Source organism: Homo sapiens, chromosome 12 (genome assembly GCF_000001405.40).
Source record: "Homo sapiens chromosome 12, GRCh38.p14 Primary Assembly".
Taxonomy (NCBI): domain Eukaryota; kingdom Metazoa; phylum Chordata; class Mammalia; order Primates; family Hominidae; genus Homo; species Homo sapiens.
The window spans coordinates 111,151,824-111,174,573 of NC_000012.12; the positions used below are offsets into that span (position 1 = coordinate 111,151,824).

Sequence of the window (22,750 nt, forward strand, 5' to 3'; positions counted from 1 at the left end):
CCAAGCGACTACTGATGATTGGGATTCCTGTTGCTGTTTGTTTAGTCATTCGAGTATTTACTGAGGACCTACTGTGAACCAAGGCCGTCAGTGACCCAGGAGATTGGCCTGGATCGCATCAGTCATTGATTTTGCTAGAAACCTCACGTGCTCTGAAGCAAAGGTTTAAGAAAGACTCAAGGCCGGTGCGATGGCTCACACCTGTAACCCCAGCACTTTGGGAGACTGAGGCGGGCAGATCACCTGAGGTCAGGAGTTCGAGACCAGCCTAGCCAACATGGGGAAACCCCATCTTTACAAAAATACAAAAATTAGCTGGGCATGGTAGCACATGCCTGTAGTTCCAGCTACCTCAGGAGGCTGAGGCAGGAGAATCACTTGAACCCGAGAGGTGGAGGTTGCAATGAGCCAAGATCATGCCTCTGCACTCCAGCCTGGGCGACAGAGCAAGACTCTGTCTCAAAAAAAATAAATAAATAAAATAAATAAATAAAAAGAAAGGCTCAAAACCTCACAGCCCTGGCTGGTAGTGCAGGCAATAGACCTGGGCGAGGTGACCAGACCCTGGGACCTCAGCTCTCAGGGCAAACTGGAGCGCCTATGGCTCATCTAAAGGGACAGTAGCCCCACAGCTCCAGCAAGCACCACCATTGGCCTTGTGTTGGCAGAGTTTTAAATTTCACATGAGAGGCTGGGCCTTGGGGTTTCTATGCAAAATCACCCATTTTTAAAGGAAAATTAAAACATATACACGATGCAGGCCAAACTAAATATGACTGTGTGCATATTCTGCCCGAGGGCCACCTGTTTGCAATGTCTGTTATTGGGCCTGATTCTGCTGTGAAAGCAAAAACCATTTGCTCTTGGGGCCTGAAAAATAGACGCATGTTAGAGGCAGTAGAACTCGCAACGCCTTGGCAGGCAGGGGTGCGGTGCTGCGGGAGCCTTGGATGTGCGTGGGGGACGGGGGAAGGAGGTGTTAGCTTCCCATCTGGCAGTCAGGGACTGGGGACAAGCCGCTCTAGATGGGGCCTGTGAGGCCACTTGCTGCATCTCCAGAAACATAAAGAAGGCACCTTCTGGGAAACAGAACCAAAGAGAGAAGGGACAGTGTGGCTTTGGGCTTGTAAATGGGAGATGCAGGAAAGGCGAGGTGTGATTTCTGCTGGTCAGGAACCCCGCAAAACAGTGGTGGAGATGGGGTGGTTATAGCTGGAGCAAACCTTTCTTTTTGGCTTTTTCTTCTCTGAATCCCGAAAGCCACCCGAGGTTCAGGGATATTCTCACTGGGGAAGGCCCCTGGATTCTAGTTTTAGAGGCATCTCTGGCTTCCATCCTTCCAAACCGCAATGTATGAAAGCTATTGGGCGCCTGCTGAATGCGTGGCATTCTTCCTGGCATTCATTCATTTATTCACTTATTTATTCATTCAATAAGCGTATTATGATAAGCCAGGCACTGTTCTAGGTGCTGGGGATATAGTGGCGACCAAGACAGATTTACAGTCATGCATCACTTGACAACCGGGATACATTCTGAGAAATGCGTTGTTAGTCAGTTTCATTGCTGTTGAACATCATGGAGTGTTCTTACACAAACCTAGACAGTAGAGCCTGCTACACACCTGGACTGTTGCTCCTAGACCACAAACCTGAACATCATGCAACTGCACTGAACACCCTAGGCACTTGTAACTTGTGGTAAGGATTTGAGTATCTAAACATCCCTAAACATAGAAAAGGTACAATGAAAATATGATACTAGAGTCTTATACAATGGAACCACCATTGTATATCCATCCATCACTGAGCAAAATGTCATTATGTGGTACATGACTATACCTGCCCTCTTGGAGCCTCTATTCTACTGGAGACAGACCATAAGCAAACATATAGTTAAGAACACAAATTGGCATCACTTACTACTGATGGCCTCACCCCAGGAATGTATCTCAGTATATTCGTTTGCTAGGTCTGCCATGACCAAGTGCCACACCTGGGTAGCTTACACAACAAGGATTTGTTTTCTCATGATTCCGGAGACCAGCAGTCCAAAATCAAGATGTTGGTCGGCAGCGGCGGTTTCTTCTAAAGCCTCTCTCCTTGGCTTGTAGATGACCACCTTCACGTTCATTTCTTCTGTGTTTCTGGGCCCCAAGTTCCCCCTTTTTACAAAGACACCAACGATACTGGATTGAGGACCACACTAATGAGCTCATCTTAGCTTTTTTACCTCGTTAAAAGACCCTGTCTCCAAATAAGGTCACATCCTGAGTTCTGGAGGTTAGGACTTCACCCATATGGATTTGTGGCAACACAGTTCAGCTCTTAGCACCCCACAGAGAAAGCCAGCCTGTGTGATTGCAGCAGGCTCGCTGGGGCTCTCGGTGAAGGGGACAAGAAAGCAGCACCACATGTAGTGTCACTGGAATGTTCTTTCTGTTAAGTCCCATGAATGATGCAAAAGTCAGATGTGCCTGACGTGTGCATCCCTCCTGGAGCGAGACTTCAGATCCGAGTTCACATGTTTGCGGCAATCTGATTGTCATGCAGTCCACCAGGCAGGAGCCCAGGCCACAGGGCTCCTCCCTCAGCCTGGCGCCACGATGTAATCAGAGCCTTCTTTTCCTCCTCACTCTCGAGGAAGGCCAGCCGGGCCACCTTTTTGATCATCGTAACCTTGACGTGGAAGAATAATTTATCCATGCCCCCAGACAAGGAAATTGCAAAATATTATTTATGAAGGCAAGTCGGCACGTCATAATTCTGGCCCTGCATTTCTGGATGTGTCTGGCCAAGACGGGGAGATGCAGTTGATGTTTGATAATAAAATGGGACCTCGTGCCTGGGAGATGGAGCTGTGCGGGAATCAGAGAGGCAACGGTCTTGCAAGAGAGACTCCAGGGAAGGACTGTTCCAGAAACTGACCTGAATTGTTCTTCTGTGGACTCCCGGGTCAGAAGTGGTAGGACAAAAGTCTCCATGAAAAAGCAGGGAAGCCAGAATGGGTGGGATGTTGGACATCTGTTTGGGGAGGCCAGAGATGTGAGGACCTTCCTTTGGGGATGACAGCCTTGCTTTGGGGCACTTGGGCAGTTGTGTAGCACAGCGGTTGTGAGTCCTGGCTCTGTCACTGCTGCTGTGGTAGGTGCTATGGGGCAAGTCAGGCAATACTTCCAAATCTCAATTTGTTCATCTGTATGATGGGAATAAGAACATATCTACCTTAAGGATTGCCTCCAGGTTAACACGCGATAATACAGGTAAGACATAATTGTCAGTGGGCCTGACTTCAATTAAGTTGAGTGATTAAAGATGCAGCTCTGGAGCTGACAACCTGGCCTGGCATCCCAGCTCTGTTCCTTACTGGCTGTGTGACCTTGAGCAAGTCACTTCACCTCTCTGAGCCTCCATTTTCCTCATCTGTCAAATGGGTACAAAAAGGGTCTCTAGTTCATACAGTAGTCTTGAGGGTTGAATGAATGAATGGAAAAAAAGAGTTTAAAACAGTGCTTGTCTCATAGTAAACGTTCAGCAAATGTTGGCCATTAATATTACTTCCTGGGCCATGATTCTTAGTGCTCTTTCTTTGAAAAGCTTTACTTGGATTTACAAGCACCTTGTCCCATTGCTGATGCCATCAAACAACATGCTTAGTTTAAAAATCCAAACAGACTTGCACTCCCAATGAAAATTGCAAAATTTTGCAAAATTTTCATTGGGAAAATTCCTCTGAGCATTGGAAAGCTTCTCCCAGGGTGATGAGGTTTCTCCCATATGTTCCCAGGGAAACCACCCTAGCCTCTGTCCACTGCAGAGGGAATGGCAGACCCGGACAGCTCTGACTGCCCGATTCACTAAACCGCACACACCAACTCCTGAAAACGCCACCACACGCTCTCAGGCACCAGCCGGAAAGTTCAGCCTGGCAAGTGTTTTGCAACCTCTCAGCATTTTGTGGTTCTACCGAATTAGCGTTTGGTATTGAATTAGTATTCATTTTCTCTAATATGATATAAAAGTATAATCACATTAGTGACTTTTATAGCACATTAGATTGTACATTTGGAACACATCCCTGCCTGAAACAGCTTAAAAAATAAAAAAAAAAAATAAAAATAAAAACCAGCCAACAATAATAACAAGCAAACCCGCTCACAAGCCCTGGCTTTTCCAGCTGGACTGCAGCAACCTGGATAGAAAATTCTTGCTTTCTGCCTCCTGGTCCCTACAGAGAAAGAATTTTCATTCCACCGCCCTGATTTGTGAAGCATTGAGTTTAAGACTTTAATAGTCGTTCCAAATGAATGTTTCTTTAATCCCGGGGCAGAAACGTAGGCTGTGATTGAGATGTAATTAATAGCACTAATTACTCTTCCCTTGCTCTGTATCCTTTCCCTCCTGCCCTCATCCCTGCTTCCCAAGAAACCTGATGGAAGCACCAGGAATGTTCCCCTTTTGCTCTAAGATGTTCCCCTTTTCTTCCTGCCCTCATCCCTGTTCCCCAGGAAACCAGTTAGCAGGCTCAGAGACTATCCCCATTCTAAACTCCTTATTTCGGAATATTTTCTCTGTCTCCCAGTGGTTCCTCCAGGGCTTTCCAGAATGTTTGATTTTCTAGAACCTGTTTTTCAGCCATCCTGGTGACTCAGCCAGTCATGAAGGTGATGCTCTAAAGAAGCAGCAGTCCATCACCTGACCCCTAGCGTCTTTCTCTGCAGTGACAGCCTCACTGATGCACTGGTCCAAACATGGGAAAGACTCCTGAAGGTCCCTGCCACCAGATGCCCAAAGCTGAGGAACCCCATTCAGCAGCCTGGTGAGCCCAAAGCACAACCTTAGCAAACCATTTTCCACTACAAAAAGTAAACAAAGCCGAGTGCGGTGGCTCACGCCTGTAATCCCAGCACTTTGGGAGGCTGAGGCAGGTGGATCACTTGAGATCAGGAGTTCCAGACCAGCCTGACCAAAATGGTGAGACCCCATCTCTACTAAAAATACAAAATTAGCCAGGAGTGGTGGCGCATGCCTGTAATCCCTGTAATCCCAGCTACTTGGGAAGCTGAGGCAGGAGAATTGCTTGAATCCAGGAGACGGAGACTGCAGTGAGCCAAGATTGTGCCACTGCACTCCAGCCTGGGCAATAAGAGCAAAACTTCTCTCAAAAAAAAAAAAAAAAAAAAAAAACAGAAACAGAAACAAAAAACAGGAGTAAAACACTTTGTACATATTATGAAAGAAAATAAGCTGATCAAGGGGGCTACACTGATTTTTTTGCACACTGCTTCATTCCCAAATAGTCAGAGATGGGTAGAATCGCCCAGTATCAGAACAGACTTTGAGGGAGGCTGCATTTTGCATGCTAACCCTGAGAATTCACTGGCAGCTTCCTGGAGCTCTGCGTTGACAAGGATTCTTAGACTGCATTCTAGATCAGCAAAAGAGAGCCTCATTCAATCTATAAACATTTTGGAGCACTTACTATGTGCCAGGCACTAGTTGGGAGAGGCTGGTAATAGATACTAAAAGACCAGCTCATGCAAAACTCAAGCACAGGATAGAGTTGGCATCTTATTCTGAATGCATTGAGAAGCTATGGGAGGATTTTCCTTGGGGAAGTGCTAGGATCTGGTTTATGTTTCAAAGATTACAGCTTTAAAAAAAAAATCACTCTAGGTTGTGTATAGAGAATCAATGGAAAGGAGGAAGGAAGAGATGCCAAAAGGCCAGGTTCAAGGTTATTGCAGGTGAGGATGGGTGATGGATAAGAATTTATTTGATTTGGGCTTTACATGAAAAGTCCAGTTGACCAAATTCATCGATGGTTTGGATTGCAGCATAGGAGTTGGTGATCCATTAGTAATGTCTACCATGGACACGGGAGGTGGCAGTGAGCATGCACATGCTACATATTTGTTATCTCTGCCTCATAAGTCATTCTTAGGTTGATGAGAGGGAGTGGGGAAGATGAAGAATCACTTAGGGATAGTAGTGTATAGCTTTAGCAACAGCTACAGATATTCCAGGAGATGTATTTGAAGAGGAATGTTCACTGGCCATTCCTGCAGACATTAAGCAAAGACATGGATTAGCACAACATCCATGAGACCACATGAATGCCATGTTGTCTCCACCTGAAATTGTTTAGGAATCAGTAAAGCAACTGGGACCCTCAGAAGATGTAAAAATTAAACCAAATCCCTGGAGAGATGTGCAAAGGACCAATGTGATTCCACAGAGACGCAATCAGGAAGGTTCAAAGAAAAGAGGCAAGGCAGGAGGCCAACGATGGAACGGATAATAGAAAAACAGTTTTCAATTATGTCAGGTGAAAACGGAGGATCAGGGATAGTCCCCTTCCCCCTCTCTTCCTCACCTCACAAACAGGAAGGACCTGGTAAGGATGGGTGGGGTGTGGAGAGCAAATAGCAAATGACCTACTGGAAGCACCTTTGATTTTTTGTTGTTGTTTTCTGTCAATCCCCATCTTTTAAGAAGAATGAGCTCAAGTGCGGTGGCTCATGCCTATAATCCCAGCACTTTGGGAGGCCAAAGTGGGAGGATCTCTTGAAGCCAGGAGTTTGAGGTCAGCCTGGGCAACAAAGTGAGACCCAGTCTCTACCAAAAAAAAAAAAGAATTAATTTTTATTAAAAAAAAAAAAAAAAGCTCAGCCATGATCAGACACTTGGAGAAAGTATGCCATTGTGTGAGTGGGCAGTGCAAAGATAGCCTGGGCTGGGGAAGGGAATGGGACTCTGGGGAGGAACAGCTGTTTTGAAAGCCCGGAGCATCTGCATGAAGATGGGTGACAGCAGCCTGGGGACCCTGCATGTTTTACACGATTTAAAACAAAACAAAAAAATCCTTTAGGAGAAGGGAAATGTTGTGAGATTATTATATTGAATAGGGCTATAAATGTAATTAAAACTTTCTACTTAAAGAAAAAAAAAGATACGAGGGCAGTCTGTGATTTTTGGCCCGGTCAGCCCAGCTTCCCTTCCTGGGAAGGGTCTAGAAAAAAGCTGTCAAATCATGAGCCAGTCTCTGCCCATGTACTCTTGGATGTAACAGCAGCAGTGTGGCCTTGGGAACAACACTCAGCCACAGAAAAACTTATTTCCTTCATGGACAGACAGGCTGGTCGTGAACACAGAGGGGCGCAGGAAATGGGAGCAAGGTGCTGTCCCTCAGGCCTGGGAAGGGGCTGTGTGGACCCCCATTTCTCAAGCCCAGCTGGTGTTCCGATCCCTCATCCCACTCAGACAGGTGTTGATAGTACCCACCTGAGAGCCCAACCCAGCTTCTCCTGCCAGGATTTTGTTGTTGTTGTTGTTGTTGCTGGAAACAGGGTCTTGCTCTGTTACCCAGGCTGGAATGCGGTGGCGCGATCGTAGCTCGCTGCAACCCCAGCCACCTGGGCTCAAGTCATCCCGCCTACCTCAACCTTCAAAGGTAGCTGAGATTACAGGTGTGCGCCACCATGCCCAGCTGTTTTTTTTTTTTTTCCTAGAGAGAGGGGTCTCACTACATTACCCAGACTGGTCTTGACCTCCTGACCCCAAGCAATGCTCCTGCCTTGGCCTCCCAAAGTGCTGGAATTACAGGCATGAGCTACTGAGCCCAGCCACCTGCAAGGATTTTAGAAATACTTCCCAAGGGTTCTGAAGCTGGACCAGTTTGAGAACATTTTTGGGTAGCTCATTTAAAAATATTAATTTTTTAAGGATGCATTATTTCATAAGCAACTGATCTGTAATTTTTAAAAATCAAGACATTAAAAATGATTTCAGAATAAACAATGAGTCTCCTGAACTTCCAGCCCCCTTCCGGCTATTCACATACTTCTTATTTGTTTTCTCAGGACATTTTGACCCATAGGCAAGCATGCAAGTGCAGCCCTATTTAAAAACAGAAAAGGAGGCCAGGCGCAGTGGGTCACGCCTGTAATCCCAGCACTTTGGGAGGCCAAGGCGGGTGGATCACCTGAGGTCAGGAGTTTGAGACCAGCCTGGCCAACATGGTGAAACCCCATCTCTACTAAAAATACAAAAATTAGCCAGGGAGGGTGATGCACACCTGTAATCTCAGCTTCTCTGGAGGCTGAGGCAGGAGAATCGCTTGAACCCGGGAGGCAGAGGTTTCAGTGAGCCGAGATTGTACCACTGCACTCCAGCCTGGGCGACAAAGTGAGACTATCTTAAAAACAAAACAAAACAACAACTACAAAAAAAGCAAAAGGAGTTAGGGGATGATTCCTTCTTTCCTTCAATATTCATTGAGCTCCTGCTGGGTGCTGGGCGCTGGGAATACAGCAATGAACAGAAGAATGTCTCCTGGGACAGGCAGCATAGGACGGGGCTAGGGGGACATTTGCTAAGCATGTCAACAAGTTGTGATAGAAGAATTACAAATTGTGATTCTGCAAAGAAACAGCATGCCATGGTTTGGAGGGCTATTAAATGGACCCCCTAAGGCTGAGGAATCAGACCAGTCAGAGATAGGTGTGTCTGGCCTGTGTGTGCAGGGTGCGTGTCAGAGTGTGTATGGGCAAGCATGTGTGTGCGGGCATCTGGGCGTATTCGGGACGTGTGTGTAGTGCAGGGTGTGTGTGAGTGTGTCTGAGCCTTCATCTCTGTGCCTGTGTGTCTGCATGTGCACACGTGCAGTGTGTCAGGGAGGGCCCTTCCTGGTCCAAGAACTCGCGTGACCCGGCACAGAGGGGGCGCGAGATGCGAGCAGGGAGCAGGGTGGCACTTGGCTGTGGAGGTCTCCTTGGCCACACGAAGGGGCCTGGGTTTTTGTCTCCATGTCCAGGGAGCCAATGGAGGGCTATGCAGAGGAGTGACGCAGTCCAGTGGCATTTTCAGGGGATTCCTCTGGAACAGCACCGTGGGGGGCAGGCGGTGGCCTGGAGGAGGAGGCTTGGTGACAGAAGATGGCTTGGACTTGGCCTTAGGAGTGGGGCTGATGGGGCTTGCGGTGATGATGTAATGTGTCGGGATGGAATGAATGAAGATGACTCCCGGGCTCCTGGCCTGAACAGCTGGGTGGACTCCGTGCCGCTTCCTGCCATGGGGAAGATGCAGGGAGGAATAGCGGGAGCAGATGGGACGTGAGAGTGCAGAGTTCCCTTTTGGCTATGGGTTTGAAACCTGAGATGCCCATGGTCTCCCAGAGGGGTTATCAGGTCCGCAGTGGGTGGGTGGTGGAGCTCAGAGACCTGGGGGCTGGAGGTGAGCCCTGGGCTTGACCACAGACGGGGCAGACTGTGTCTCCTTGGCTCAAAGGGCCAGCCCTTGCCTGGCTGCCCTGGGCTCTGAGCCAGAGCCCTGGATCACTGGAAGGGTACTTAAGCATGGCCACTTTATCCCCATCAGCTGTCTCAGCACAGCCCCTGGGCTCTGATGGGCAACACCCATTAAAGGGATGCACCCTCTGGGGACTCAGCCCAAAATGAACCAGAATCACAGCAGCAGGGCTCCATAGGGCTGGGGGATCATGAGGTTGGTTCCCCCAGCATTGAGGCCTCAGAACACTGGGTCACCTCCCTGGAGGCTGGGACCAGCTTCCCAGAGTGGTTCATGTCACGCTTATCTCAGAAAATAAGGACACACTTTGTTACTGAAACACTCTCTTGCATGCCTTGGTTGATGGTAATCCTAACAGCTAATGTTGAGTATTTTACTGTGTGTCCGCCCTGACTACCTATTGGCTCAGTTAATCCTCACAACAACCCCAAGAGGAAAGTTCTACAATTACTCTCATTGTACAGATGAGGAAACTGAGGTTCAGCAAAATAGTAGTTGCACAGCAGTATGGTGTAGACAGGACTGAAACAGGGCAGTTCAACTGCAAAACCCGTTCTCTTAGCTCTCACACTCTATGCTGAGTGTCGCTGGATGCCATTTCTTTTCTTTTTTTGTTTTCTTGAGACAGGGTCTCACTGTGTCACCCAGGCTGGAGTGCAGTGGCACGATCACAGCTCACTGTAGCCTCAACCTTCCAGGCTCAAGCAGTCCTCCCACTTCAGCCTCTCAAGTAGCTGGGACTACAGGCATGCGCAAACATACCCGGCTGATTTTTGTATTTTTCTGTAGAGACAGGGTATCCCCATGTTGCCCAATGTGGTCTCGAACTCCTGGGCTCAAGCGATCCTCCTGCCTTGGCCTCCCAAAGCACTGGGATTACAGGCATGAGCCACCGCACCTGGACAGGATGTCATTTCTTAAAGTCACTTCAGCAGGGGCGTTACTGTTATGCCCATTTTACAGAGGGGGAAAGCTGAGGCCCAGAGAGAGAAAATGCTTTGCTTAGAGTCGCACCACTAGTAAGCGGCATTGCCGGGCCTGGTGTGAAGCCCTGAACTCTCTCTCAGAGGTGAGAACTGCCCCTGGCCACCAGCCCCTGCCTTCCTCCACTGGAAGTGAAAGTCTCTGTTCCCCTACCCCAGCCCAAAGTATTCCAGTGACTGCCACGGGTGGGAGGTGGGGTTTCGTCCTTGGAGCTGTGGGCTTCTCAGAGCTCTGGGACCAGAGCTGGTGAGATCCTGTTGCAAGAGAAGCAGGCTTATCACGGGAGCCTGTGCATGGAGCCCTGGTGGGTGGGCTAAAGCCCATGTTGGATTGCAGCTGTATTGAAGCCCCACTGCTGGGATGTGCGGCCTTGGCCCACTTTGGGGGCTTGAGCCACCCTGTCCAGGAAGAACTCAATGGCTCACTGGGACAGCTCTCTCCATCACAGCGATGATGGGACAGTGCTGAACAGCTCACAAGCAGAGGAAGCTCTGTGGGTAATTGACTACTTGTTTTAGCAAGTGCGTGTATGTTTCTTGAACCCATAATTGGAAACTCACACCCTAATTTAGACACCTACCTACTGAAGCTTCCAGAAGACCCTTGCTTGATTAGCAGAGAGACGAAGAGCATAGAATTTGGGGTAAGGGCCAGGTGTGGTGGCTCACGCCTGTAATCCCAGCACTTTGGGAGGCCAAGGCAGGCAGATCACCTGAGGTCAGGAGTTCGATACCAGCCTGGCCAACATGGTGAAACCCCATCTCTAATAAAAATACAAAACCTAGCCAGGCATGATGGCAGGTGCCTGTAATCCCAGCTGCTCGGGAGGCTGAGGCAGGAGAATCGCTTGAACCTGGGAGGCCGAGTTTGCAGTGAGCCGAGATCCTACCACTGCACTCCAGCCTGGGTAACAGAGCAAGACTCTGTCTCAAAAAAAAAAAAAAAAAGGAATTTGGGGTCAAGCTGCTGAATTCGAATCTCAGCTCTGCTGCTGACTGGCTGCCTGACCTTGAGCTTGACCACTCCTAACCTCTTCATGCCTCAGTTTACCCACCTCATAGAATTGTTGTAAGAAGCAAACAAATGCTTAGAACTATATCTGGCATATAGTACTCACTTGGAGGCTGTTAGTTAAGTATTATTGACGGCATTGCTGTCTAAAATAGGTTTTTCTGCAAATGGCCAGACAGTAAATATTTTCTGCTTTACAGGCCGCATGGTCTGTGTTGCAATGACTCAACCATTGTAACCGAATAGTGACGGTGGACAGTACCTCAATGAATAGATGTGGTTGTGCTCCAGTAAAACTTCGCTGTGACTTATATATGAGCCTGGGGGAGAAAAGTGTTTTTACCTGCGGGAGGATGTAACCCTAGGGCTGTCAGCAGCCATTGTCCCTCCATTCCTGGAGGAAGCCAGCCATGGTAAGAGAGAAGAAGGACAGCTCACAGGGGGTCAGATCCAACAGAAAGAGATCAAACCCTGCCAAGGTTGTTTGAACTGCTGGATCCAGCCATACCTGAAACTACCTTGGCACCGTTTGGCTATATAAGCAGCAGTTTCCTTTTTATGCTTAAGCCACTTTGCATTAGGCTGCTGCTGCTTACAACTTGAAGAGTGCCAAATAATACAGGACTCTTCTCCTTCATCCCCCTGAATCCAGCCAGGAGGAGTCACTTGCCCACTTATTTCTGCTGACTCACGCCCACCCATGCTTGCCAGGGGTCAAGTTACCCAGGGGCGTTCCTTAGTCCCCAACATAGAACCATGCCCCACACCTACTTTTCCTCTAGGAGTTTAAATCATTTCTCTTTTCTTTTCAAGGTTGTATAACCTTGAGCAGGTGACTTTGTCTCCATGAACCTTAATCCCTTCATCTGTCAAATGGGGCTAATCATTGGACCTAGGGCATAGGGTGAGTTAAAAAGATTAAATGGATTAATATCTCTATAGCACTTAGAACAGTCCCTGGCATGTAGTAAGTACTGTCTAAGCATATGCTGTTATTATAATACTACCTGGAAACTGAACTCACAGACTCTCTGGGGGTTTTCCTGCAAAATGGAGGGAATTGTCAGCTCCCTGAGGCTGAGATTAGGGCTTCCCATATTCCCAGCACCCTTCCAGGCCTGGTATTGAGGGGACACTTGGTGTTTGTTGAGTAGGAGTTAGAACAGGGGCGGGACATGGTGGCTCATGCCTGTAATCCCAGCACTTTGGGAGGCTGAGGCGGGTGGATTACTTGAGGTCAGGAGTTTGAGACCAGCCTGGCCAACATGGTGAAACCCCGTCTCTACTAAAAATACAAAAATTAGCTGGGCGTGGTGGCACGTGCTTGTAATCCCAGCTACTTGGGAGGCTGAGGCAGGAGAATCACTTGAATCTGGGAGGTGGAGGTTGCAGTGAGCAGAGATTGTGCTATTGCCCTCCAGCCTGGGCAACAGAGTGAGACTCCATCTCAAAAAAATAAAAAAGAAAAAAAAAGAGAACAAGCAAAAGACAATAACAGAAAGTGAGCATGAGGGATCCACACAAATTGGATCAGCCCCCCAAGGTGTTCGTAGTTAGAAGTCACGCAATAATTGCTTTGGGAGTTTATGAAACCTTGAGGCACAGAGGAATGTTAGGGGTCCCATGAGCAATTTGGGGATGTGAATGTTGGGGATTCACATCCTCACTGCTAACAGTGTGATGTTACAGTGTGGTCCACAGTAGAACTGAATTGCTCATTAGAAATACAGAGACTTGTCCCTGCCTGTACCCCCTGTAGCAGAATCTGTACTTTAACAAGATCTCCAGGTGACTCGTGTGAAAATTAAAGTTTTAGGGCCAGCCATGGGGGGGAGAGGAGGAGGACAGATCAGAGGGAAGCAGAGCCAAGAGACAGAAATCAAACCCTGCGAATAGCATTTGAACTGCTGGATCCAGCCATACCTGAAGCCACCACTCCACTGTTCAATTATATGAGCAATGGATTCCCTTTTTTTCTTAAGCTACTTTGTAGATGCTGTCAGAAGGGCCTCTGTGTCGTAAGGGACTAGGGGCTATTTATGCGGGTAAGGATGGGGTGGAGGCTATGATCCTATATGCCATTTTATTAGGAAAACATTTGGTGTTTAGCTCTCTGGGTAGGGAAGAGATGCATCTTTCTGCCCCCTGAGAAAAGAGAAGTAGGAAGGTCATGGAGGGCCATGGTGACCCACATGGCAGGACGTCTTCAGAGCCAAACCAGAGTGACCTCATTGAGGCAGTGGCCTCCAGAAGTTGTCAAACAGAGTTAAGCACAGAAGATGCAAGGGTTTGGTGGAGAGTGGACACAGACTGTCGTCTGTCTCTACCAAGACGGTCAGTGTTATTGTCTCATGGCGGGGAATTTGGGCCACGTGCAGAGAACATGAACTTTAAAATCCACACAGAACTGGACTCAAATTCTGGTGCTGCTGCCACTTGCTCACTGTATGACCCTGGGTGAAGAAATATGTGTATCTGGGCCTCATTGTCCTTGTCTACAAAATGGGGGTAAAAATAGCACTGACCTCATTGGGATGTGGAGAGTGTTCGTGCAGCAGTGACCAGAGCTGGTGGGTGAGAACCAGCTATAAGCATCGCCTCCCAGCTCCACGTGTAGTGACATCACAGCAGGGCTTGAAATTGACCATGGTGGGAAAATGTACACCATGGAAATGGTAAATATCAGAATTTGTCCTTTTTCTCCAGAGAGCTGGTTGTTTAACATTTACCAGCATCCTACTGGTGAAATGCCAAGACGTATTTAAATTGCTATCCACAGTGTTTGGTGGTGGTGATTACTAATTACGATTATATTAAGCATGTTACTCTAATATTACTAATATGAAATGGTTTTCATGATTGCGCTTTCAGTGTGTCCACTTTGACTCTTTTTTGTTGTTGTTGTTTTTATAGACTGGGTGTCTCGCTGTCACCCAGGCTGGGGTGCAGTGGTGTGATCACGGCTCACTGCAGCCTCAACCTCCTGGGCTCAAGTGATCCTCCTGCCTCAGCCTCCTGAGTAGCTGGGACTATAGGTGTGCACTATCACACCTGACTAACTTTTTTCATTTTTTTGTAAAGACGAAGTCTCGCTATTGTTGCCCAGGCTGGACTTGATCTTCTGGCCTCAAGCGATTCTCCTGCCTTAGCTTCCCAAAGCACTGGGATTACAGGCGTGAGCCACTACGCCCAGCCTGCGACATTTATTTTAACTGCTTGGAAGCCTTTTCTTCTAACCCTCTGGCTCCTAGCTCCATTCTGGAAAGCTGACATTATCAGTTAGCTGAGTTCTGAGTAGACGACATACCGTAGATGGTAATACCCAAACTAACATTTATTGAGCATGGACTAAGTGCCAGGCACTGGAAAAGCACTTCCTGCAGATATTCTCATTTAACCCACCCAACAACTCTATGAGGTATGAACCCCATGTTGTGAACACAGCCCGAGGCTCAGAGAAGTTAAGTGACTTGCTCTGGTTTGCACAGCTGCTTGATGGAGGGGCCAGGCTTTGAACCCTCGCATTTTGACTGTAGAGTCTGTGCTTTCATCAGGAGGATCTGCAGAGGCTAAACGTGGAAGGGGCCGGTGTTTGGTCCCTGAGAGTGGACCCTCCTTGCTGGGAGGCTTGGGCGGGGGTAGCGGACACTGCCCAGGACCGAGAAGTCCTGACGGCATCATCTGCTTGGCGAACAGCAACCGTCCAACTTTCTGGGACGCGTGCCGGCCGCATTCTGATTGGCGAGGGGATGTCTCTGTTGGAAGGGAATCTTGGCCACTTGCCCCTTGGCAGCAGGCTGCTGGCTGCCACGTGGAGTGCCGTTTGGAGGCGGTGGGAATTATTCGGCAACCTTGCCTGGGATAGCTTGGAATGGATTGTGGCAGGGCAGGGCGGGGGCTCTGCCAGTCTCCTAGACAGGCTGGCAGGGAGAGCGAGAGCGCCAGCACTGTCACAAGAAGCTCACAGTCTCAGCTTCTGCACTGTCCTCCCTGCCCCTGTCTGTCTCTGTCTCTTGCTATCCCTTGGCCTCTCTTTCTGCCAGGACTTGAGCTGACAGGTGGTTTGGCACCAAGGGAAGCACCATCCCCTGTCCCCACAGGCCTTCTTTCCTTCACCTGCACTGAAGCTTAGGGGCTTTTGCTTCTTCCACTGTTCCCTATTTCCATCGAGATAAAGTTCACACTCCTTGACTTGGCTCGAAAACCTCTTGTGATATGACCCCTGCCTCTCGGTTCTGTAGCTTGTGCCCCTAAGTAGACCATGGGCTTCTCGAGGGGGAGGGCCTGTTTCATCCTCAACTTTTTATTTTTCTGTAATGCCTAGCCCAGAGCTCACTCAGAACAAGTGGGTGAACTTGAAAGGCAAGGAGGGGTGACCCCCGTCCATGGTAGAAGGGACCGAGTCACTTCAGGATTTGCAGTCATAGCCTGTGCTGCATCTTAAGGCAGATTTACCACGTTGTCAGATGCCATGCAAAGCTCTAAGTTTTTTCTGTTCCTATCTCATTTAATCCTCCTAACAATCCTATTAGGTTGGCCCTGGGTTTGTTTGTTTGTTTGTTTGTTTGTTTGTTTGTTTCTTTTTTGAGATGGAGTCTTGCTCTGTTGCCCAGGCTGGAGTGCAGTGGCATGATCTTAGCTCACTGCAACCTCTGCTTCCTGAGTTCAAGTGATTCTCATGCCTCAGCCTTCTGAGTAGCTGGAATTACAGGTACACGCCACCACGCCCAGCTAATTTTTGTATTTTTGTAGAGAAGGGGTGTCACCATGTTGGCCAGGCTGGTCTCGAACTCCTGACCTCAAGTTAACCACCCACCTCTGCCTCCCAAAGTGCTGGGATTACAGTTGTGAGCCACTGCGCTCAGGGTACGCCCTGTTTTATCCCCATTTTACAGAGGAGGAAACTGAGGCACAGAGAGATCACCTAGAGAGGGCAGTGATAAGATTTGAACTCAAGCCAGTCCGGAGCCAAGCTGGCTGGAGTGAAGTCTTTCTAAACTGCCCTGACAGATGTGCACCGTCTCAGCGCCGTTCCTCCCCAACCCATTTCCTGAGGCCTCATCAGACAGCAACCCAGTTTGTGGCTCCTCACCTCACCCCAACTCTGCTGTGTTCACACATCCTTGATGAATTAACCTGGGCAACACCAGCCCTGCCTGTCACACTGATAAAGGTAGAGCTGTGGAGATCTGGGTTGCAGAAGATGTCACAAGCCCTTCTCTCTGCCTGTCACCTGTCCCCTGCAGATTCCAGGGCTGCTCAGAAGTTTTGGAGAATAGCTGGAATGATCCTTATTGATCTGATGGGTGGGTGTTTGGAAACAAGGAGAGACGCACTAAGTTGGTTCCTTCCAAGCAGGACCTCCCACCACACCAGAACCTCGTCCCGTCGGTCAAGGGTGGCCCATGTGGCTCAGCATGCTGGGGACTGATTGTTTCCACGTTCCCTAGCTCTGCCTGACAACAGAGCGACATTCCTGTGCCATCACAGGGGAGAGTCGCATTGTGTTAGTGACTCCCCATCAAACTGTGTCATATTGGGATTGTATTGTATTCATAGTTGTTTCCACTAATGTGATATGAAAGTTACTAATCGGAGAAGACTCCTGCATTGTATTAGGGAAAACAAATATTAATATGAGTCGATGGAAGTAGCTAATAAGAAACGCAAGTTGCTAATAGGACATGATGGATCAGTGGGAGGAATTTGGGTCGGGTGCTTGAACTTTTGTGGAATGCTCAGCCGGGTGGGGGTTGCAAGATGGCAGGAACTCTATGTTATAGTCGCTCAGAGTATGAAGGTCCATATCAGAGCCCCCTGCCTGCCCCCTCCCCCCACTGTCATCACTACCCCTCCATCTCACCTCTGTCCTGCATTGAATGGCATCCGCCAAAATTCATGTCCACCTAGAACCTCAGGGTATGACCTTATTTAGAAACAGGGTCTCTGCAGGTGAAATCAGTTAAGATGAGGCCATACTAGAGTAGGGTGGGCCCTAAATCTAATGACTGATTGTACTTGTCAAAAGGCCACATGAAGACAGGGACACTCAGGGAGAAAGTCATGTGATGACAGAGGCAGGGATGGGAGCGATGCCACAAGCCCAGCAACACCAAGGATGGCCGCGACCACCAGCAGCTGGAGGTGGCGAGGAAGGACCCTCCCCTGGAGCCTGCAGAGTGAGCGCAGCCCTGCCAGCCCACACCTTGATTTCAGACTTCCAGCCTCCAGAAGCGGGAGAGAAGACATTCCTGTTGTTTTAAACTCCCCTAGTTGGTGGTAATTCATCACAGCGTCCGTAGGAACAGAACCCCCTTTCCCCACCATGCCCCAGAAAAGCAGGGATGGCCACAACCATACTCGTTTTATTCAAAGATAGCCAATCGGATCAGGGACATTCTTCCACCCTCAGCGGGTCGGCCTGGCTGCCTAACCAGCCCTGAGGATGGAGGGCTGGCTCTCTCCCTGACTTTGTTCTTTTAAAGAGGAAAAAGCCTCCTCAGTGGCAGGGTGGTTGGCATATGGGCTCCGCAGCCTGCTTCGCGTCACGTTAATATGTGATTAAAGGGGTCTTAAAACGCCCATTAGTCCCCCTCTGGTATCTAATAGCGCTTTTGGATTTAGAACAGAATATTATTTACTCATTAGCTGATAATAGACCCTGAGTACACGCCTTATGTATTGGGACAATTATTAGAGTCGATTACACACAGAGACGTGGTTCTGCTGGGGTGGCTGGTGGCAGGCCAGGGTGGTCCAGAGGGCATGAGGGTGGCAGGGAATGACTATGGGCCATATGTGGACAGCAGGGAGCCCGCTAGAGATTGTGTGTGGCAGCTGTGGATGGAAGCAAATTCCCTGTGCAAACAGGGCCACTGGATGCCCCATGCAAGGTACTAGGGGGAAGAATTTAAGGAAACTGCCTCCAAGAATTGGGGTGCCAACAGTAACAGCCCCTATGCAGCAGTAAGGGATTGCACTTGAGCATTCGTCCTGAGTCTCCCAGGATGAGAGTATTAAGAACAATAACTGGCCAGGCGTGGTGGCTCACGCCTGTAATCCCAGCACTTTGGGAGGCAGATCACCTGAGGTCGGGAGTTCAAGACCAGCCTGACCAATATGGAGAAACCCCTTCTCTACTAAAAATGCAAAATTAGCCGGGAGTGGTGGCACATGCCTGTAATCCCAGCTACTCGGGAAGTTGAGGCAGGAGAATCACTTGAACCTGGGAGGCAGAGGTTGTGGTAAGCCAAGATCATGCCATTGCACTCCAGCCTGGGCAACAAGAGCAAAGCTCCGTCTCAAAGAAAGAAAGAAAAAAAAAAAAACTGCCCCCACCGTGGATCACAGGATAGGGTGATGTGCCCAGGATACACAGCTAGGAAGTGACTGAAGCTGGATGCACACCCCCAGCTCTTCTTTTTTTTTTTTTTTTTTTTTTTTTTGAGACGGTGTGTCACTCTGTCACCCAGGCTGGAATGCAGTGGCACGATCTCAGCTCACTGCAACCCCTGCCTCCTGAAACCCAGTTCTTCTGATGACAAAGCCTGGGTTCTTTTCAACATCCTCTCCACTTGCTGCAGAAACTGCTCAATGATTCCAGTCTTCCCCATTCTCCGACAGAAAGAGGAACTTTGACATCACTTCCTCTTATGTGTGGTGTGTTGGAAAGATGAAAATAGCAGGTTGTTCCTCTCCGTGGCTGGGTCCCTGACCTCGGGCCCAGCGTGGTAGGAAGGCCGAGGTGGAGGGAATAAGCATGTGGAAGCCATGGGAGTGTCTCCTGGGAAGCGGGAGAGATTAAGGAGGGATGGACCGGGCCCATGTCTGGCATCGGCAATTCTGGTCAAGGTGCATGGGAATGGGAGGGGAGTGGGGAAGCGCCAGGTAGGGTCCAGCAAGGTGTTCTGGTTGCCCTGGTGATGCCTCTTGGGCTGTGACCCAGAGTGGCGTTGGCATCCAAGGAGAGAATAGGTGCTGGTAACACCTGGAGTCATCCCAGCAGGTGTCAGTGGCTGATTCCACTTGGGGGTGACAGAGATGGAGAAGTTGGGCAACCCCCAGTCTGATGGACGGGGTGCAGAGTATGGAAGGAAAGCCTCGAGTTTGACCTTCACACACACCTTGACCTTGTTGGCAAGCCCGATCTGCAGGTCATCAGTTTGCAGTGATTTTGCCAGTGAACACCTGAGCCCCTTAGTGCATTGTGCAGCCTGCTGAGAGCACCAAAAACCTCCCCTTAATACCCAGACTCACTGCGGCTTTTCTGAGACCGGCCAGAAGGACAGACGAGAGGGGTTTCTTATGCACCAGTGGGAGTGGGTCTCTCTCTGACCCAATGCAAGCAGCCCGGAGACATCTTGCTTCCTTGTTTCCATGGCTTGTGGGGAAACCCCGGTCCCGTGTCCCTGTGCACGCAGATGGCTAGTGGCTCAGTGGGTCTCCGGAGCACAGCCACCTGACACATCTGGGGCTATGGGACGGAAAAGCCCAGAGTGCCCTCTCTGAGGAGTCATCCCAGCCTGTGGCCACAGTGATGCTGAAGGGGTTTGCAGGCCATAATTAGGGGCTCAGTGTCACCTTTGTCCAGTGCCTGAGCTGAGAACAGGGCTCCCTGGTGAAAGAATGGCAGGGTCCCTTTTCGCCTCCCGGGGAAGGAGCCGGAGAGAAGGCAGAGCTTGGGAAATTGGCCCTCTGTCTTCTCCCATCCAGATATGTGGGTCCTGGGCCTTACCTGTACCAAATAAATAACCCATTTCCCAATGGGCAGGCAGCATATGCACTCTCTGTGTGTGCGTGTGCCTGTGCCTGTGTACACGTGCGTGTGTGTGCGTGCATGTGCATGCACCTGTGTGTGTGTGCATGTGCCTGTGTGTGCGCATGTGTGTGCATATGCCTGTGTGTACCTGTGCCTGCGTATACATGTGCATGTGCACACGTGTGTGCATGCACCTGTGCGTATGCATGTCTCTGCGTGTGCATATGCTTGTGTGTGTGTGTGCATGTGCCTTTGTGTGTGCATGTGCCTCTGTGTGTGTGTTTGTGTGTGTATGTGCATGTGTGTTTGCCTGTTTTTTAATAAAGCTCACCAGGAGCCAGATATCAATTTCTGTCAGAGAGACGCAGAGCATCTGAACCAGAACTAAATAAAAATAAACATTAAACAATTATTGGAATTTAGGTTTATTTAAAAAATCAGCAGGGTTGAGGGAACCAGCCACCCATTAGCGAGGCAGAACTATCGGGCCTTTTAACAACCCGCTGGTTCTTGGCTGCCAGAGAGATTTGGGCTGTCCAAGCTGTAGAAACTCCAGATCCTATTGATTAAAGATGATGCAGTAACGAACAAATTATATCATCGTGGCTGCTTGTGGTGCTGGCCAACACTGGCTACCTGTTTGTCTTGATGGAAATGGCTCTATCTGGGGGACTCCGGGAGGGTGGTTCAGTGTCCCCATCCCAGCCAGCGCTTTCCACTCTGTGCAGTTCCTGCAGCTGGGTGGAGGCTCCGAACCTCGAGCTGTCTGGGGTTCTTGTGTTTTTCTCCTCTCTGTCCCTTCCATGGACATCTGTAGTTTAAAAGGAGTCTGTGTCTTGTCAACCAAATCAATGCAAATAACCAGTGAACGTTTCTCGACTTTTCAGTAATAATTGATCTTCCCAGAACTGATATCGTTTGGAAAACGTAAGTAAGGAGATCAGCAGTGAGCCAGATGTCCACACTAAGAGAATATAACTGCTCTGAGTTATAGGAAAAGAAATGATTTCCCTTCCAGCTTTAGCTCCAAGAGCTGAGCAAACTGCCGTGCAGCATCGAGAAGCTTCCAATAAACTCGGGGCTTAGTTCGAGGCAGCCTCAGCCTCTCAGCCAGAAGACTTGGGTGAGTGCGGGACTGGAATCTTCCAAGCTGATGGGCAGACTTCTTGCCTGCAAATTTTTGGTCTCTAGGTTTTTATCTGGAAGCTGTCTGCACAGCCAGTTGCTGTCAGGGAGAGAGAGGTTTGTTGTTCTTCTTGAGGGATGTTCAGGCTTAGACCCTGAGCTGGGCATCTACTGCGTGGGAGTCTCCCCTTGGCTGGTTCTTTGGTTGATGTTCTTGTTGTTCTAATTTGATGGTCATTCCCATACATTGCTGTGATTGGCTCCTGACTTGACCAGGGTGATACTCAGAAAGTCAAATGGGGACGGGGACAGGGTTGATCTGTGGGCTGGTGGATGGAAAATAGGATGCCAGGGGGCACTTTCTTTATGAACACTGTCATTCTTCCAGAACTCATTCATTTGTTCATTTGAGCATTCATTCATGTGCTCATGCAACATATAGTTCCGGGGCACCTACTCTCTTCTAGGCACGATGAGGTGCTGGGCGCACAGGGGTACCTGCCCTCCTGGAGCTTTTAGTCTAGCTATGAAGAGGCACAGACTTGAAATAGTTCCTGATGACATCACAGTTGCCATAGTGCTTCATAGAGGTGAGGAGGCAGCAGCAGGGGCTCACGACAGCAGGAAACTGGCCTCATGTTGGGGTGTTGGTCTGCTGGAAGTAATGTTTAAGCTGCAACTTGGCTGAGGGGTAGGCCTGAGTTAGGCCATTGATTTTCAGACTTGAGCATGCATTTAAATCACCTGAAATTTCCTTGAAAAAAATCGCCAGGCTCTACCCTCAGAGTTTCTGATTCAGTAGGTCTGGAGCCCGTCCAAGAATTTGCATTTCTAACAAGATCCCAGGTGACACTGATCCTGCTGGGCCAGAGACTTTGGGAACCACTGAACTGGGCAAAGAATTGGGAGGAGAGGGCATTCAGGTAGCGGAAACTGCACGTACAAAGGTCCTGGGGCTGGTTTGGGCTTGGCAGTTTCCAGGAACCAAATGAAGGGCCAGAGGGTGGAGCAAAGCACAAGGACTGTGGGAGGAAATGCTGTAGAGAAGCAGGCAGGGCCCTGACCACACAGGCCTTGCAGACTGGGCTGGAGAGTTCAGATTTGATCTGAAATGGAATGGGGAGTCCGGGGAGGTTTTAAGCAGGGAAGTATCAACATCCAGTTTACATCTTGAAATGCCCTGTCTGGCTGCCAGGGTGGAAGTGAGATGGCAGAGAATTGCATGGAGCCAGGGAGGCCCCTGCAAGCATCCAGGCAGGAATTGGCAGTGACCAGACCAGGCTGATGACAGCAGGCATGGAGAGGCACGGGACGTGTCTGAATGAGTCCACGCTCCTGCTTTCCAGGAAGTTTTCCTGATCAGTTTGGTTCCACCCTTCAATCTGTGAACCCTAATTTCTCACTTGAAGAAGTTGTCCTATGTTGACGTGACATTAGCAGTTCCTTGAGGGTAGGGCTGTGTGTGTCATATGTGAGTCACATGCAGCCCCTAGTTGGATACACAATACCTTATACTAGCTGGCCAAAAGCACGGGACAGTTTACCTGCAATGGTTACCACATCC

The 22,750-nt window shown here is 49.2% G+C and overlaps 1 protein-coding gene across 7 annotated transcripts in view, besides 1 other annotated feature; it reads left to right on the plus strand.

Annotated features, from left to right (window-relative positions):
- The window catches only part of CUX2 (cut like homeobox 2), a 316,390-nt gene that overhangs the window by 117,659 nt on the left and 175,981 nt on the right, over window positions 1–22,750 (plus strand). The gene's annotated exons all lie outside the window — the stretch shown is intronic.
- Window positions 8,860–9,471: an enhancer, noted in NCBI's record as "H3K4me1 hESC enhancer chr12:111598487-111599098 (GRCh37/hg19 assembly coordinates)". NCBI's record gives its function as "activates a minimal SCP1, AML or CMV promoter by ChIP-STARR-seq in naive H9 embryonic stem cells {active_cell/tissue: H9 hESC(naive)}" and the evidence as "EXISTENCE:reporter gene assay evidence [ECO:0000049][PMID:30033119]".